Genomic DNA, 19750 nt, shown 5'->3' with positions numbered 1-19750 from the left:
TCCAGCTAAATGCCATATGTATATTCGCCAACTTTCCTGAACCATCAGGTATTCTGAAATTTAATCAAGTTTTCTATTGAGCCACCTATTCAATTTGATGCCATTTCACAATCTTAATGAGCATACTCTGTGTGCTACCATCTAAGACTCTGGCGGAAGTATTAAAAAGCACTGGGATCAGGATCCGACTGACAGAATTCAACTCAGAGTGCATGGTCCCCCTCCTCAGTGCTGGGGACTGGTGATGAGCCACAGGTAATTGTTCTCAGAGGATCTTGATAGTCCTAGGTCAGTCTATCTTCTTAGCCACAAAACTTGCCACCTCTCACAAACATATGCTACCTACACCATCACACACACACACACACACACACACACACACACACACACACAGATAAAAGACTGGCAGAAGACAGATCCATAGCAACCAACCTACATTAGGCACCCTAAGATGGTGAATCTGCATCATACTCATCTTCAAAGAAAGCAGCATTAAGTTTTCTTGGCAACACTCTACTCAACTGACTGTAGTAACCTATGCTAGTGAGGCCCCCCATAAAATAGGATGACATAACCACAGCTTGCCAGATGCCATCTCAGGCAGCAAAGCTATTTTTCAATATACAAGCTCATCTCCACTCCCACCTGTTGAACTGAATGTCTAACAAGAATCAGTGGTTTCTGTTTCCAAATCTGCCTTATAATTATGCCTGTTCTGTTACTGTAGATAATATAATCAGTTACAACCCAAACCAGTAAGTGCAAAAAGGATGCATTATTTCTATAAAATCTATGTTGACTGCTTTGAACAGATCAAAAGACATACTGCCAAGCATGGTCAGGACAACTTAAAGACTGGGATGGATAAAAATCATAAATCTGGAAAGATTATACAAAGAAAAGGAAACAGTCAACAGAGTAAAGACACAACCTGCAGAATGAAAGGAAATATGTGCAAACCGTACTTCTGATGACCATACTTCTTTAACATCTAAAATATACAAGGAGCTCAACTCAATAGCAAGAAAACAGATAACCCAATTTTTTAAATGGTCAAATGATCTGAATAGACATTTCCCAAAAGACGACATACAAATAGCTAACAGGTACACAAAAAAGTATTCAACATTAATAATCACCAGAGAAATGCAAATTAAAACTGCAGTGGAATAGTTATCACCTCACTCCTGTTAGATGGCCATGATCCAAAAAGACAAGAGATAACAACAAGTGTTGGCAAGGACGTGGGGGAAAAAGGGAACCCTTGTATACTACTCATTGGAATTAGTACATCCAATATGGAAAACAGTATATTAAAATTAAAAATAGAACTACCAGTGGAATTGAGCCAGCAATTCCACTTCTGCGTATATATCCAAAGGAATGGAATCAGGATGCTGAAGAGATATCTACACTCCCATGTTCAACTGCAGCATTATTCACAATAGCCAAGACATGAAATCAACCTAAGTGCCCATTAATGGATGCATGGATAAAATGTGACATATAAACACAACGGAATACTATTAAGCCTTAAAAGAGAAGGAAATTCTTTCATTTGTAAAAACCTGGATGAACCTGGAGGACATCATGTTAAGTGAAATAAGCCAGACACCGAATGACAAATACCACATGATCTCATTTATGTGCAGAATGTAAAAGAGTCCAACTCACAGAAGCAGAGAGTAGAATGGGGGGTTGGGGATATGTTCATCAAAGGACATAAAATTTCAGTTAGGAGGAATAAATCAATTGTATGGTGATTATACTTAGTAACAATTTATTGTATACTTGAAAATTGCTAAGAGATTTTAAATGTTCCCACCCCCCAAAAATGATAGGTGTGTGAGGTGTTAATTAGCTTGATTTAGCCATTACAATGTATACATATATCAAAACACCAAGCTGTACACCATAAACATACACAATTTATATTTGCAAGATTTAAAAAGTCTTAATTAAAATATTTTTTTTAAATCTAGAAAGAGTACCTTCAGATTGCTTCACAAATGTATTTAGACTCTCATGTCACTTAATGAAACCAAAACTGGACATTACTTAATTAACAATTACTTAGGCACTTACATGCCAGTTACCAACAGGATTAAATGAGTTAATCATTTTAAACTAGTATGTGTTTGACAATTACTGACTCACTGGTATTATCTGCATTTTACAAATGGGGAAACTGAGGCAAGGAACTGTCAAGTAACTTGCCTTGGTTCATATGCTAGTAAGAAAAGAGAATAAGGGTTGCAGCCCAGGAGGCCTGGTCTCAGAGGCCACATTCTACTATGCTAAATTATCACAGACTATGTATTATTTGTGTGGCTTATGCAGAAACAAGTGTATGGCTCTCAAATCAGTTGATGACATGCAAAGAACAAGCCTTAGACCTACATTTAAAAACGCAAATCATGTAAATTTATGTTTTAAATTAAACTAAACATTCAAGTTGCTTTTTAAGATTCCATGCTTTAACACATTTTTTTACTTACCTATCAGTTTTATCAATTTGAATAAGAGACTTCTGATGTACATTTCCCATGTTCTGGTGTAAGCCAGTCACAAATCAATGATAGAGCAAAGAGCTTCACATTAATTACTGATATTATTGACATGCTGTATTCTCTTTTCCCAGGAAAAGAAATGGAAGTATTTACAGGCTTGAATGTAACATTTTGAGATTCTACCCATGATTAATCAGCACAACTATAGTATAAGCAATTTCAGAAATGCAGAGGACAAAACAGGAAACTCCACCAAAAGCTTTAGCAAAACATCAAAAAAAAAAAAAAAAAAAGAATTCTGAACAAAATTCTTAACATTCAGAAATAAACCTAGGCTGAGCGCAGTGGCTCCTGCCTGTAATCCCAGCACTTTGAGAGGCCAAGGGCAGGTGGATCACCTGAGGTAAGGAGTTCAAGAGGAGCCTAGCCAACATGGCAAAACCCCGACTCTACTAAAAATACAAAAATTAGCTGGGCATGGTGGCGCACATCTGTAGTCCCAGCTACTAGGGAGGCTGAGGCAGGAGACTCACTTGAACCTGGGAGGCGGAGGATGCAGTGAGCTAAGATCGTACCACTGCACTCCAGCCTGTGCGACAGAGCAAGACTCCGTCTCAAAAAAGAAAAAAAAAAAAAAGAAAAAAAGAAAAAAAATCTCGTTTTGTCAGGTGAACATCTATTTAGAAAGTCTTCCCTCTTAATGGATTCCATTAATTTCTCTATCATCTTGCTGAGTGCTAAAGTGCAATCGAGTTATCAATGTAAAATCAAAAGCAACTTCTAAAACAAAATCCATCTCCACACTTACTACCATAACAAATTCATAAGTAAATTTCTCTCTGAAAGAGTTAAGCATAAAATACAATGTAACAAGTCAATGAGACATCTGGGGTATATTTACCCAAGTACAGAAACCTAAGGAGACAATGTCAAATGTCTTCAACTAATACACAACTTATGAAATTATTTTTTAAAGCATTCTCCCAATGTAATAATTATTTCAAGGACCCTGAAACAATCAGGTAAAAGGTTACTGACAAACAAGATCCCATACGGTTTCAAAGTTTCATCCTACAAATTACTTAATACAAAGAGAAAGTCATTCCTTTAGAATCTGGCATTCAGTACCTCTAAGCAAGTGATCAAACTTTTCTTTTTTTTTTTTTTTTTCTTTGAAAATTAAGTTTACTTGTTTATTATAAAGGATATTGCAAAGGATACAGATGAAGAGATGTGTAGGGCAAGGTAGTGGGGAAGGTGCTGGGAGCTTCCAAGCCTTCCTGAGTGGGCCACTCTCCAGGAACCTCCATGTGTTAAGCTATCAGGAAGCTCCCTAATTATTTTCTTTTTTTTCTTTTTTTTTTTTTTTTTAATTTTTTTTTTTAATTATACTTTAAGTTTTAGGGTACATGTGCACATTGTGCAGGTTAGTATATACCTAATGCTAGATGACACGTTAGTGGGTGCAGCGCACCAGCATGGCACATGTGATCAAACTTTTCTACACAAGGGGAGAACTTGACATTATGTTCACACTAATGGCAATGTACATTTACGTTTTACATTAAAATAAAGCATTTAAGGTATTTTTAGATCTGTGCTATAACTCACTTTTTCACTTTATCACTGGTGTGCTAAAATGTACACAACTTCACCTTAAAATTAAGAATCCTTGTCAAAATGTTTAACCTAAAACAAATCATTAAAAACAATGAGACAGATCTAAAATGTGGAAGGCTTGTATTCTTCCAAACCTCACTGACAGGACAAACAAAAAGAAGGGGAACCATTCTAGATTAAGACAGACTAAGAGAAATATCAAACCAACTGCGATTCATAAATCATTTGGGGATGTTACATTAGAAACGGCGGGGTGGGAACTACAGAAGACATTTTTGGGACAAGTTTCAATATGGACTATAAAGTAGCTGACATGAGATTACTGCTAATTTTCTTAAGTGTGATAAAATCGTGGTTATGTATGTGAATGTTCTCATTCTTAGGAAATTCATGCTGAAATACATAAGAGATAAAGTATAATATCTACAAATGGTTCTGGAAAAGGTATATTTATAGAAAAAGGCAAAGAACAGCAGGCAAATGTTAATAGTCAATCTAGGTGAAGAGTAAATAGGTGTTTGCTATACTACTTACTTCAATCTTTCTGTGGGGTTTAAATTTTTCAAAATAAAAAGTTGAAAGAGGATGTCCTCACAAAGACTTGTACTTGAATGTTCATTATGCATAATAGTCAAAAACTAGAAATGATCCAAATCCCCATCAACTAGTGAATGAATAAACACAATGTGGTATTATCCACAGAATGAAATACTACTCAGTAATAAAAAATAGAACTACAGATACATGCGACAACACAGATGAACCACAAAAACACGTTCAGTGAGAGAAGCTAGTCACAAAAGACTATACATTATGATTCCATTTATGTGAAATACTCAGAAAAGGCAAATCAAGAGTAACAGAAAGCATCAGTGTTCACCAAGGGGCGCGAACAGAAAATGACTTCCAAAAGGTCTGAGGAAAACTTTTCAGAATGATAGAAATGCTATAATATTGCATTGTGTTAACTGTGGTACAATGCTGTTAAGTTGACTAAAAATCACTGAACTACGTACAGTTAGAATGGGTGTATTTTATGGCATGTAAATTACACCTCAGTAAAGCTGTCAACAAAAAAGTTGGGAGAGGAATATTCTATGATCTGAAAAAAAATCAATGATATTTTGGAAAGGAATAAATCTGATAATTTGTTAGTGCAGACAGAGAGTCAGTGCAAGCATGGAATCAGGCATCAGGCTAAGCTATAAAATTAAAACAATTTCATTTCTACAAAAAAAAATACATTAAAAGGAAGCATCCAATAAAAGTTTACTTAAAAAGTAATGAAGTCCAGTCCTTTATTTTATATTCCGAAATAAATTTTTATATTACCAAGTATATATTTCCAAATAAGCTCCCTAGAGAAGAATACATAAATTAATTTCATAATCAAAAGACTGCTTTCAACAACAAAAAGACAACCCAATTAAACAGTGGGCAAAGCACTTGAACAGCCATTTCTTCAAAGAAGATATACGAATGGTCAAAAATCACAGGTAAAGATGCCTGTCATTAGCCATCAGCAAAATGCAAATCAAAACCACAATAAGATACACTAGGGTGGCTATAAAATTTAATTAAAAAAAAAAAAAACAGAAAGTAAGTGTTGGCCAGTATGTGGAGAAACTGGAACCCTCATACATTGCTAATGGAGTGTAAAATGGTGCAGCCACTGTGGAAAACAGTTTGGACTTCCTCAGTAAGTTAAACATAGAATTACCACAAGACCTAGCAATTCCACACCCACGTGTATACCCAAAAAGTGAAAATAGGTGTTCAAACAAAAACTTATACATGCATGTTCGTGGCAGCTCCACTCACACAGCCAAAAGGTGGAAGGGACCTAAATGTCTATCAACTGATTACTGGATAAACAAGGCTGTTATATCCATACAATGGAATGTTATTCGGTCATTTAAAAAAAATGGAAGTTATGCAGTAAGATACACACAACAACACGGATAAGCCCTGAAAACATTATACAGTGAAAAGTCATTTTTTATTATTTCACTCATATGAAAGAGACTGAATAAACAAATCCATAAAGACAAAAAATAGATTAGTGGCTGCAAGCGGATACAGAGAAAAGAATAGGAAGTGGCTCCTCAATGGGTACAGGTTTCCTTTTGGGGTAATAAGAATGTTCTCAAACTAGACAGTGATGACTGCATAACACTGACTGTACTAAACACCACTGAATGATTTACTTAAAAATGGTTAAAATGGTTTAAAATGGTGTATTGTGTAAGTATTATACCATAATTTAAAAATAAAACTCTGCCTGTGGGTGTACAACATTTTTAACTTGAACTTAATTACTATAACTTTTTCTACCTCTTTTGGCTTTTATGTATACCATAGATCATATTATAGGTATGTCAAAATATTAAACATTTACTGAACACTTGCTACACTGCTACAAACAAGATGTATGCTAGCAACTTTTTTTGAATTTCAGTTAAATCCTTAAAAAAAACTATAAGGTAGGTAGGTATTATCATTCCCATCTTATGCTTAAGAAACCATGGCTAAGAGAAATGAGGCAACTTAACTAATAAGTGGTACACCCTAACCCTAACATTTTTAAGATTAACTCAAATATAAAAGGGAATAAGCTAAATGATTTCTAAGGTAACTTCCAGCAATACAACTCTATGAATATGCCACATTTTAAAAAACACCTTCCGCAAAATGTCCTGACAATAGCTTTCCAGTGAAATATATGAACAGAAAGTCAGCACTAGTCCTAAAAGATCTTTAGTATGACACATGTTAGCATTTCTTTCCCTCTACCAGTATAAGATATTAATTATTAATTACCTTACTGGTTACCATTTCCAGAGAACCCAAAAGGTCCAAGGTGATTGTCACCAAATTTCAAAGTATATCATGAAAGGTGGGTAGCAGAGAAACTGACTATATGTAAACACCTACAGAAAGGAAATTATTAAAAAACACAGATTCCTAGGCCCCACCCCAGGATCTAGTGAATGAAAATCGTTGGGTCAATGCCCAAGAGTGCTTACATTTTCTTAAAAGTCCAAGTGGTCAGCCCAGTTTGGGAATTGCCACAGGAAAGTAAAATTTATATTTTGTCAAACAGGACATACAAGCCAGTCCAACTATACTGACTTTGGAGTACAAGAGTATAGGATTTATAATCTAGTTATGATGTCAGACCTTTTTACTGTACACTGACATTTCAAAGGACATGATTCTACCCAAAGATACTTGAATCTTTGCATTGATTCATTCATGATACTCAACATACCAAATTGTACTTATATTACCTTTAAGAAATATTTTAGTGATCAATTCCAACTGCTCATACACATAAATGTATTATATGAAATACACACACGTACACACTAGAAGCCTTACACAACATGTAGCAGGGTTCCTGACAATCTAACCCCAAATAGTTTTTAAATAAACAAGCACAAGTAAATCCAACATTGACTGACATCCACATTATGTGCCAGGCACTGTTCTAGGCGCTGTGAATATAGCCAAGAATAAGACACATTCTCACAATACTTATTATTAGCAGGGACATGAGTCACTAAGCAGGCTACTATGGAAATAATCACCCCTCTTCATCATTTTCCTTATTTTGCTTTTAGAAGTGAACATTCTGCTTCATCCTTCCCTAGGTCATTATATAATTCTTGCTTTGTCGTATCAATCCCTTTAAATTCCAGTTTTCATTATACATGGGGAAAATGTACAGCCAGGCAGCCTCTGTCACTATTTCAAAGCAACTGGAAAATCCCAGAATCCACATTTTCATTGGGCTGAGACTTTCCAATATGCCTAATAATGATACTTTATGACCTGGAAGTTCCAATGAATTGGTAGTAAGAAAACATTGATTTGCTTCAGTGGCACTGTGATTGGAATGGTGATTAAATGCATCATGTTAAATTTACCCTGGGCCTTTTCCAGTATAGCAAATATAAAATGAGCTATCAGCATCAGCAGAGCCTAAACCACTCCTTCCTTCTAAAACGGTACTTCTGCTGCATGTCAAAGGTGATATGATGGAACTTCGCCCATTAATAATCAGGTGGCATAACATGACAAACTGTATACACCCACATAGGCTTCCACAGGATGTACACTGCCCAACATGGTTTATTCTATTTAGCAACTTGGGACAACCTTATGTATGTCAGAGCAGCACATTTGCACCACTATAGTTAATGGTCTGTCAGCATTTCCATTATAAAGCAATTTTCAAAGGTTTATTGCTCAGCTGAAGAATCTGCTCTGAGCTGAAATTTGGCATTCCAGAAAAGCAAAAACTGTAGGCTATAGTTATTTATTCCTTTCCAAGCAGGCCAAGTAGTTTGTTTCTTTTTAAAGAAAATCTGTCCCTTTATTTCAGAATTTCGTCATATTGCCCTTTGAGAATATCCACAGAACAAAAACCTCTCACCTCATAAAGGGACTATTGTTTAGAATAGCAGCTAGCAACTTACAAGGTACAGAGGATAGATTCCAACTTATTTATGGAAAACAATTTTTAAAAAGCAAGCACATTTTTATGAATTGCACGTTTAAAATTTTCATCAGTCCTACCTTAGTTATGATTAAATTATTCATGCTATTAGAGCGCGTGCTCTGCCACTGATGACTTTGAAATTCTCAATTGTTAAACCTCCTTTATCTCTCCCACCCAAGAACCACAGACCACTGACCTAGGGTCAATGTTACATACTCTTGCTATTCCATCTTACTCTACTAAACGGAATATGCGCTGTAAGTAAAAGCTTGGTAGCAAGAAAGGTGATACAGTAGATAGGAGACGCTTTGACAGTAATTTAGAAAATTCAGAAAATGGATGATTAGCCCCTGAATGATGAAGTTCCCAGAAAACCAATGTGGTAATCTAGATGACCAGTAAATTAGTGATAAACAATTTTATTCAATCTCTGGAAACTGTTCTACTAGTCTGAAAGCTTGCCAGAATATTTCACGTGTCAAAGAAGAAATTAAATATTCCTATATATTTTGTTGGTGACTCTAACTAGAAAGCTTAAATATTTACACCTTAAATTATAGGATTTTTCAATTATACAGGTAATTATAATTCTGATACAAGTCTACCCAATAAATAAAGAAGTTTTAACACAAAATTGGTTTTCTAAGCTTAAAAATTCTCATTATGTACCAATAAAGACTCTCAAAACTTTCAAGACTGGTGATCAAAGCAACCTTTTAAAAATGAATACTTTTTAGAGAAGTGTAAGGATCCATCCTAAATTACTGCACACAGCTTGACATGCTTTGCCAATTTTCCAGCTTTATGTTACTCTGAAATTATTACTATTTAAAATCATCTATGAAACTACTTCCAAACTAAGTAACAACATAGGGTAATGTTTGTAAAATGTTAAGTAAATGGGACATGGCCAGTGCAGTTGCTCATGCCTATATATAGTCCCAGCTACCTGGGAAGCCGAAGCAGGAGAATCACCTGAGCCCAGGAATTCAAGTCCAGCCTGGACAATATAGTGAGACATCATCTCTTAAAAAAAAAAAAAAAAAAAAAAAGTAAGTAAAAGAAGCTTGCTGCTGCATCTCTATCTGAAAAGAAAAAGTCTACATTCAATTAAAATTACTTTTTTAAAAAAGGAAATGGGATCTAATTCATGATTACAGCTATTGGAAACAGATGTGGAAGCAACAGACAAGAACTAGAAGGGTCTAACACACCTGAAAAGATATGAACAACATTTTCTTTTATAATTTTTACTAACGTTATATTTGTTTTGTTTGTTTGGTGGTGGTGGTGGTGTTTTGAGACAGGGTCTCACTCTGCCACTCAGGCTAGAGTGCATGGCAGGCTAGAGTGCAGTGGTATCATCTCAGCTCACCACAGCCGCAGCCTCAACCTCTTGGGCTCAAGCAATCCTCCTTCCTCAGCCCCCCGAGTGCCTGGGACTACAGGGATGTGCCACTATGCCCAGCTAATTTTTGTATTAAAAATACAAAATACAATAATTTTGTATTTTTTGTTTCACCATGTTGCCTCGGCTGGTCTTGAACTCCTAGGCTCAAGCAATCCTCCTGGCTTGGCCTCCCAATGTCCTGGGATTACAAGAGTAAGCCACTGTACCTGGCCATAATGCTATTATATTCATTTTATAACAAATATTTTATATTCAGATTCCAAATTAACCCCACCTTTACCCTTTGCAGGCAGTATCTATACTTTCCAAATATACAAATACAAACGCTGAATTTAAAAACAGAATTACCAGAGGACACTCAACAAACTAACAGAATATTTAAAATTAACCCTCAACAGCTACAAGTGTTACATGTCAATTGGTTTTATATACAGCACCAGAGAACCAAGTAAGGAATTAAATTACTTTTGTCTTTTGCAATTTTGTTAAAGGCCTCAGCAAGAAGGTCTCTCCAGTACTTAACCTAAGCACCTGTGAATCCCTTCAGCTTTTGTGAGAGAAACCTCAAGTCAGTCTGCTAGTGGTTCAGATGCAGCAAACAGAACATGGAAGTGAGTATCAAACCTTCACTCAACCTCACTGCTTTCATTCAAAAGGCTGAAGCCCCTCTAAAAGGCTTAACTGAAACATACTGGAAGTTAGTAATTGATGATTTCATTTCCATATTAGAAAGACAAACACATCCTTTTTTTGTTGTTATTGAAACATGGTCTCACTCTGTCACCCAGGCTGGAGCACAGTGGCACAATGTCGGCTCACTGCAGCCTCAATCTCCTGGGCTCAAGCAATCCTCCTCCTACCTCAGCCTCCTGATGAGTAACTAGGACTACAGGTGTGTGCCACCACGTCTCGCTAATTTTTGTATTTTTCAAGAGAAGGGTTTTCACCATGTTGCCCAGGCTGGTCTCGAACTTCAGTTCAAGTGTCGGGATTACAAGCGGGAGCCACCACACCTGGCCAACACAGCCTTGTTCATGATTTAAAATAACAGTAAAAGGTTTTTCTGGATTTGATAACTTTTCATCTCTTACCCATTTACCACTCAAATCTCCCTTGCTTTCTCAGGATGCCCTTTTCCTTCCTTAATATGCTATCGGTAGGAATATACGATTATAGAACCACTTACTACTCATTTCTGAGTAAGAAGGCCTGGCCACAGTGAAAGCACCAGAATGAATTGCCAAAAATTGGACGGCTTGCTCCCTTGCTCCCTCACCTCTAACACCACAGTAGCCTATCTTTCAATAAAATTGAATTTATTCCAATAAACATACTGCATGTTAAAAAAAAATTCAGTAGGCACAAAAAAAGTACTAGTGAAACGTATGTCTCATTCCCACTCCTGTCTTTCACACACTCAGTTCCCCTCTATTAAAAGCAACCACCAGTTTCTTGTAGGTCCTTCCCTAAGGTATATCCTATTTTAAACTCTGAATCTCGGCACTCCATATTCTGCCTGCATGCTTTATTTTTCTCCTAGTATTGATCACCAATTAGCCTGCCAACATATTTTTATTATTTACAATTAAATCAATTATTTTATTCTTGCCCCACCCGATTCTGCAACTCCATAAAAGCTCCATGACGAACTCTTTACTGATATATTTCCATAGCATGGAATTTCCGCTACCTGGAACATAACAGACCTGTGACAAGTATTTGTTGAATGAGTTAATAACCTTGTTACTACAAATACTAACAACAAGCAAGTAATGTATTCTTTACAAAATACTAGTGCTTTTCCAAAAAGAGGGGAAAAAAATCTACAGAACTAGTGCACTCTACTTAGAAAACTAAATCAGTTTAAAAGTAATGAAAATTGCAACAACTCAATATTGCCCATTATTTGATATTAAAATTTTACACTGAATTTCTACACAAAAGGAAGTTTGCTCAAACACCATTTGTAAGATGAGTTTCTCCTCTTGAAAAAGAGATGTCTTCTGCAAGCCTATTCCAAGAGAGTAAAATTTTGAATAGTAATTTCTAATTCTCAAGAGTACTGAAAGAGTACTTTGCTATGTAATGTTCTCAGAACACAGTATAAAAGAAGTTATAAATAAAAACATTAAGATAATATGGGAAGAAATTCCCACACATACGCAGAAAAACTTGTATTGCAAGGGTTTCTGCAGTATTGTTTAAAATAGTTACATAACTAAATCACAGTTAAACAGTTAAAACAAGATTGGTAATAACCTAAATGTCCATAAAAAGAGACTAAAGTATGCTGAATCTATTGAGTATAATATGACACTACCCAAAAGAATAATTCTACATATACTGATATAAAACAATCTTACCCAAAAGAATGACGTAATTCTACATACACTGTTATAAAACAATCAATAAAACACATCATAAGAAGCTGAATAGTATGTATAGTACATGCCCAAACATATACTGTTTAAATGTATAATGGTTAAGCACAGTACAAAGTAGAAGGATACTCCCCATCAAAAAACACCATGGTTACATAGGTTGCCCTCGGGGTAATGGAACTGTGAACGGAAGTAAAAATATTTACTTTTCACTGTAAACCATTTTGAACTGTTTAAATTTTTACCATGTGCATTAGTTGTATTATTTCTTCAAAACAGGGCAATTAAAGAATTGTAAAGAAATTTTATTTGAAATATGCAAAGATAATAACGGGCATCTCTAACGTCTAAAACATAAGGGCTAAAATTAGATCAATCCTATTTAAACAGTGCTTATTTCAAGTATTAGTTTACATCTACAATTTAAATACAAATATACATCTAAATTGGACAAATGAACAATAACTTCGGATCATTAAAGCATTCATGAAACCTCAGAAAAAGTCACAACACAAAAATGAACAGGCTGGGCACATTTTAACAATAATAGTGGCTACTCAGCCACTATTGTTAAAGGCTAACAATAATAGGTTAATATCACATTAAATGGTGAAATATTGCACGCTTTTCCCCGATGCAGGAAAAAAGTAAGAAGGTACACTATCACCACAACTACTCAACATTATAGTAGAGATTCTAGCAAGTGGAATTAAGCAAGGAAAGTCAAATAAGAATCAAAAAGATTAGTGGTGCCAACATCATCAAAAGAAAAAGGAATCTTAAAAATCAGAAACGAATGGCCAGGTGTGGTGGCTCATGCCTGTAAATCCCAGCACTTTGGGAGGCCGAGGCGGGTGGATCACGAGGTCAGGAGATCGAGACCACACTGACTAACACGGTGAAACCCCGTCTCTACTAAAAATACAAAAACAAAATTAGCCAGGCGTGGTGGCGGGCGCCTGTAGTACCGGCTACTTGCGAGGCTGAGGTAGGAGAATGGCGTGAACCCGGGAGGCAGAGCTTGCAGCGAGCCGAGATCGCGCCACTAAACTCCAGCCTGGGCAACAGAGTGAGACTCCGTCTCAAAATAAATAAATAAGAAATGAATATGTAAACCTGTCATTATTCATACATAACATGACTGGGTATCATGGAAAGAAATCTGTAAAATATTAGAATTAACTAATGAATTTAGCAAGGTCACTGAATAAGGTCAACATACAAAAATTAATTTTATTTCCTCATTTAAAACAATAAACAAGTTAAAAAGTGAAATTTAAATCATAGTACTTATATCAAAAGATATCAAATACCAAGAAATAAATCTAAAAGATGTACAGGGTTGCTACACTGAAAATTATAAAACACTTCTGAGGGAAATTAAAGACTTACATAAATGGAAATATATATACTATGCTTAGATTCAATAGAATTTCAATCAAAACCACAGCATTTCTTTTTAACTGAAATTGACAGTCTGACTCTAAAATTTATATGAAAATTCAAAGGCTGTGGAATAGCTAAGACAATCATGAAGAATAATAAAAAACCTGAAGGACTTACACTACCAGATATGAAAACCTATCTGAAAGCTACAGCAATAGAGACAGCATGTCACTGATGTAGAAACAGACAAACAGACCAATGGAACAGAATTAAAAGTCCAGAAACAGACCTGCATGTGGCTTAACACTACCACAGCAAGCACTAGGGAAAATGGTCTTTTCAATAAACGGAGCTGGGTCAACTTGATATCAGTGTGAAAAAAAAATGAACTTTCACCATTACTTTACATCACATGTAAATGTGTACAGTAGACCCAAATGCGAAATATAAAACAATAAAACTAGAAGAATGAACTCGAATGTCTTTTTTAACTCTGTAATAGGAAAAGATATCTTAAAACACAAAGAGTCCTGACCACATAAAACAATGATAGATAACACTGCATTAAAATTGAGAACTTCTGTTCATCAAAAGATAACACTAAGGGAATAAAAAAGTCAACCACAGATTGGGAGAAGATAGCTGCAATACACATACATGGGGTGTGTGTGTGGGTATGTGCGTAAACTATAAAAAGAACTATAAATCAATAAGAAGACTGACTCCCAATTTATTTATTTTGTGTGTTTTTGCTATTCTTTTCTGACTACTTGCTGACTGTTGATTCCCAATTTAAATTGGACAAAAGACTTGAACAGGCACTTCAAAAATGCAGACATCTATGCGGTCAATAAAAAAATGGAAAACAGTTCAACATCAGTAGACATCAGACAATGCAAATTAAAATTAAAATGCCACACCAATATAACTCCACCAGAGGCTAGAAGACTGAAAATATCCAAATTCTGGCAAAGGTGTGGAACACTGAAATACTAATCCGCTGATGCTGGGAGAGTAAACTGGTATAGCCACTACCGCAAAAGCTTAGCATTGATAACCTATGACTCACCGATTCCCTCTCATCTATATACTCTTGAAATACGAAGCTGAATTTCTTCCAAGAGACATATAAAGCAACATTCACAGCAGCATTACACCTAACAAAGACGGAAGATAAGCCAATGTCTACCCACAAGTGAATAAATCCATAAACTGTTCTGTATTCACACAATGGGATGAGAATTACTACCATAAGCAACAACAAAGATGAACCTTACAGACATAATGTTGAGCAAAACACACCAGACATGAAGAAGTGCCTATGATTCTAGTTACATGATGTTTAAAACAGATAAAACTAAAACTACAGTGATAGAGATCAAAATAATAGTTACGTACAGACAAGGCTTTAAGTAGAAGAGGGCAAGAAGGAGCCTACAGGTATGAAGGAAATATTCTTTACCTTGCTCTAGCTGTTGATTACACAAATATAGACATATATAGATAGAAATATACATGTATGAAAATTCATTACGTTGTAAATTTAACATCATACTTGTTATTATATGTAAGTCATATCTAAATTTAAAAAGAGGATATTATCAACAATATCATGTTAATAAATTATAAATTTTAAACTTCTAGGGAAAAAAAACTTACCAAAACCAAAAAGAATAAACAAAATCTAACCAATCCTACAGTGAAGAAGAAAATAAATCCAAAATTTAGAACTTCATTAGAAATGAAGAAAATCTCAGTCTCGGTTGGCTTTACTGGCAATTTCTACAAAGAGTTAAGAAATAAATCCATCTTAAACACAGCAGGGCAAGAGAAGGAGCACTCATCCACTCACCTGATGAGACCAGCATAACCTTGATGCCAAAACTCAATAAGGGCATTATAGGTATTTAAAACACACACACACACACAGACACACACACACACAAAACAGAAGGCAGGCAGGCAGGAAGGCAGGAAGGCAAGAAAGAAAGAAAAGAAAGAAAGAGAGAGAGAAAGAAAAAGAGAAAGAGAGAGAAAGAGAGAAAGAAAGAAAGAAAGAAAGAAAGAAAGAAAGAAAGAAAGAAAGAAAGAAAGAAAAGAAAGAGGAAAAAAATTAAGACACCAGCCTCATTCATGAACACAGATACAAAGAATGTAAACAAAATTTAGCAAACCAAAATGGGCAATAAAATACCATGGTACAATAAAGTTGGGTTTTTTCATGGGAGTCCAAGGCTGATTTAATACTCAAACATTTATGTAATAGGCCACATTAACAAAATAAAGGAGAAAAAAACTTGAGCATCCAATGGACAGAGAAAAATAACTGGATAAAAATTAATATTCATCCACGGTTTTTTGTAAAACAAAAAAAATCAAAGGCAACAGAAGGAAACTTTCTTTCAGAAAAAAAGGATACTGTAAAAGAAAAAGAAAAAAGGTTTAAATAAAGCCAAAATGGAACATCAAACCTAACAGTGAAAAGCTGAGCTTTCTGTTTCAAATAAGAAACAAAATCAGTATAACCATAACCATTATGATGACATCTGTAAATCTACTCAATGTAAGGAAGGACAAAGACTTCTGAAAATAACTAGAGGGAACAAATGCCATAGCTTACACAGGGCCTAGAATAGTGCGTGTTCCCATCAGTAAGAATGGAAAACCTCACAATTCATAGGACACAGGGTAGAGTGCTCAAAAGGGTTTTGCCTCAGTAGTGGAGTAAATGAACCCTAGATTAAATGTTGATTTGGTACACCACAGCCTAACAAAACTTAGAAAGACAAGAAATGACTGAACTCTGCCCAAGAAACTTAACAGCATGCCAAAATAAAGTCAGGAATATTTACAAGAATACAAAAATATCTATGAAAACAAGGTAAAGTTCACAATCTCTGGTATACAATTTAAACTTTTAACTAGCATGCAAAGAAGCAGGAAAATATGACCCACAGTGACAAGAAAAATCAACTCAATCAAAAGTGATCCAGAATTGAAACAGATGATAGAATAGTAACCAAAGACATTAAACCAATAAATATAACTGTATTCCGTATGTTCATGTTTTTTGTACTAAATCAAAAAAAAAAAAGAAAATTCAAAAAGTTAAGTCTAGACATATAAGATAAAAAAAAAAAAAAAAAAAAAAAGAACCTCTGAGGCAGGAGAATCACTTGAACCCAGAAGGCCGAAGTTGCAGTGAGCGGAGATCACGTCACTGCACTCCAGCCTGGGCAACAAGAGCGAAACTCCGTCTCAAAGAAAAAAAGAGAAAAAGAACGTAATAGAACTCTTACAGATGTAAACTATATTGAGATGATAAAAACACTGGATGAAATTAAGAGCAGATTAAGCAATGAAGAAAAAAGGAACCTGAAGACCTAGCAGTAAATAGTCACAATAAAACAAAACAGTAAAAAATGAAGAAAATAAAAAGGATCTATGAGTGAGGAAACTTTAAAAGGCTTAATATATGTATAACTGAAGTCTATGAAGAGGTAGAAGGGAGGCAAAAAATTTTTTGAAGAAATAATGGCAGAAATGTTTAAAAACTGATTGGAAACATAATAAGCCCTTTGATCCAAAAATCTCTACAAAACTAAACACAAAAAATACAAAGAAAACTACACCAACGCACATCACATAATAAAGCTGCTTAATTAAAACCAGTGATAAAGACAAATTATTAAAAGCAGCCAGGAAAATCACATTATATATAAACGAAAGAAGATAAGGACAGTGACAGATTTCTCATTAGAGATGTTGCATGCTAAAAGACAGTAGAGCAACATCTTTAGGATACTGACAGAAAAATCTATCAACTTAGAATTCTATACTCAGCAAAAATATATTTCAAAAACGAAGAAACAAAGACATTTCCAAACATAAAAGCTAAAGGAATTCCTCACGAGCAGATCTGCACCACAAGAAATATTAAAGCCGGGTGTGGTGGCTCCTGCCTATAATCCCAGCATTTTGGGAGGCTAAGCCAGGAGGACTGCTTAAGGCCAGGAGTTTGAGACCAGCCTGGACAACATAGAGAGATTCTGTCTCTACAAAAAATTTAAACATAAAAAAATTAGTAAGGCACACACCGGTTAAGTCCTAGCTACTCTGGAGGTTGAGGTGGGAAGATCACTGGAGACCAGGAGTTCCAGGTTTACAATAAGCTATGATCACACGGCTGCACTCCAACCTGGGCAACAGACTTAAAAAAAAAAAGGGAAAGGAAAGGAAGGATTTCAAGGAGCAGGAGAATTATACCAAATGAAAATATGAACCTACACAAAGAAATGAGCACAAGTAAACAGACTTTTCTAATTATTCGTATCTCCTTAAAAGACAACTGCTTTATTTTTCTGAGGCACAGTCTGTTGCCCAGGCTGGAATGCAGTGGTACTATCTCAGCTCACTGCAACCTCCACCTCCTGGGCTCAAGCAGTCCTCCCACTTCAGCCTCCTGAGTAGCTGGAACTACAGGCACCAGCCACCACGCCCAGCTAATTTTCTGTATTTTTGTAGAAATGAGGTTTCACCATGTTGCCCAGGCTGCTCTTGAACTCCTGGACTCAAGGGATCCACTCACCTCGGCCTCCCAAAGTGCTGGGATTACAGGTGTCAGCCACGGCACCCAGCCTAAGACAAATGTGTAAAGCAAAATTAGTAACAGTGTAGTACGGGTTTTATAACATATGGAGAAGTGAAAGTGCATGACAACAATAACACAAAGTTGAAGAGATAGAAACAAAGGTCCTGGGCCGGGCGCGGTGGCTCACCCCTGTAATCCCAGCACTTTGGGAAGCCAAGGCAGGTGGATCACCTGAGTTCAGGAGTTCGAGACCAGCCTGGCCAACATGGTAAAACCACGTCTCTACTAAAAATACAAAAATCAGCTGGGCATTGTGGCATGCGCCTGTAATCCCAGCTACTCAGGAGGCTGAGGCAGGAGAATCGCTAGCACCTGGGAGGCAGAGGTTGCAGTGAGCCGAGATTGTGCCACTGCACTCCAGCCTGGGCAACAGAGCAAGACTCCACCTTCAAAAAAACAAACAAACAAACAAAAACAGAAGATCCTGAAATTGTATAGTATCACTTGAAGGCAGACTGTCATACGTTAAAGATAAAAGTAACCACTAAAATAACACAGTTAAAAAGTAATAGCTAGAAGCCTTTTATCAGATTGAGGAAGTTCCACTCGATTCATAGTTTGTTGAATGTTTTTATCAAAAGTGTTGTTTCATAAAATGCTTTTTCTGCCTCTATTGAGATGATGATATAATTTGTTTTTCATTCTGTTGATGTATTACATTAATTGATTTTCAGATGTTAAACCAACCTTATACTCCTGAGATTATCTCACTTAGTCATGGGATACAATTCTTTTTATGCATCTCTGATTTGGTTTACTAGCATTTTGTTAAGGATTTTGGCATACATATTCATAAGAGATATTGGAATGTGATTATGATACTTTACTTTTGGTCTTGGTATTTGGGTATTAATGGCCTCATGAGTTGGGAAGTGCTTCCTCCTAAACGTGTGTGTGTGCATGCGTGTGTGTGTGTGTAGAACTGGTATTAATTCTTTAAATGTTTGGTAGAATCCCTCAGAATTCCATCTAGAGCTAAGTTTTTCTTAAGAGGTAGCTTTTTAATTACTGAATCAATCTCTGCACTTGTTACAGGCCTATTCTAATTTTCTTCTACTTTCTGAGTCTGTTTCAGAAGTTCAGAGTCTAAGAACTGATGCATTTCCTCTAAGTTATATAATCTGCTGGTGTACAATTTGTTCACAGTATTCTTTTATAATCCTTTGTATTTCTGTAAGGTCAACAGTAGTGTCTCCTCTTTCATTTTTAATTCTGCTAATTGAGTCTCGCTTTGTATCTTGTTCAATCTATATAAATGTTTGTCAATTTTGTTGCTCTTTCCTAAGA

At 35.7% G+C, this 19750-nt stretch overlaps 1 protein-coding gene across 3 annotated transcripts in view, besides 1 other annotated feature; it reads right to left on the bottom strand.

The window, feature by feature from the left end:
* The window catches only part of ZFAND3 (zinc finger AN1-type containing 3), a 334898-nt gene that overhangs the window by 242201 nt on the left and 72947 nt on the right, over positions 1–19750 (bottom strand). The gene's annotated exons all lie outside the window — the stretch shown is intronic.
* Positions 572–621: a silencer, noted in NCBI's record as "silent region_17158". NCBI's record gives its function as "represses an Ori minimal core promoter by ATAC-STARR-seq in GM12878 lymphoblastoid cells {active_cell/tissue: GM12878}" and the evidence as "EXISTENCE:reporter gene assay evidence [ECO:0000049][PMID:35858748]".

The sequence above is a fragment of the Homo sapiens genome, chromosome 6 (genome assembly GCF_000001405.40).
Source record: "Homo sapiens chromosome 6, GRCh38.p14 Primary Assembly".
Classification (NCBI taxonomy): domain Eukaryota; kingdom Metazoa; phylum Chordata; class Mammalia; order Primates; family Hominidae; genus Homo; species Homo sapiens.
The sequence above is the reverse complement of the archived record's forward strand: the minus strand, read 5'-3'. Positions and strand labels throughout refer to the sequence as shown.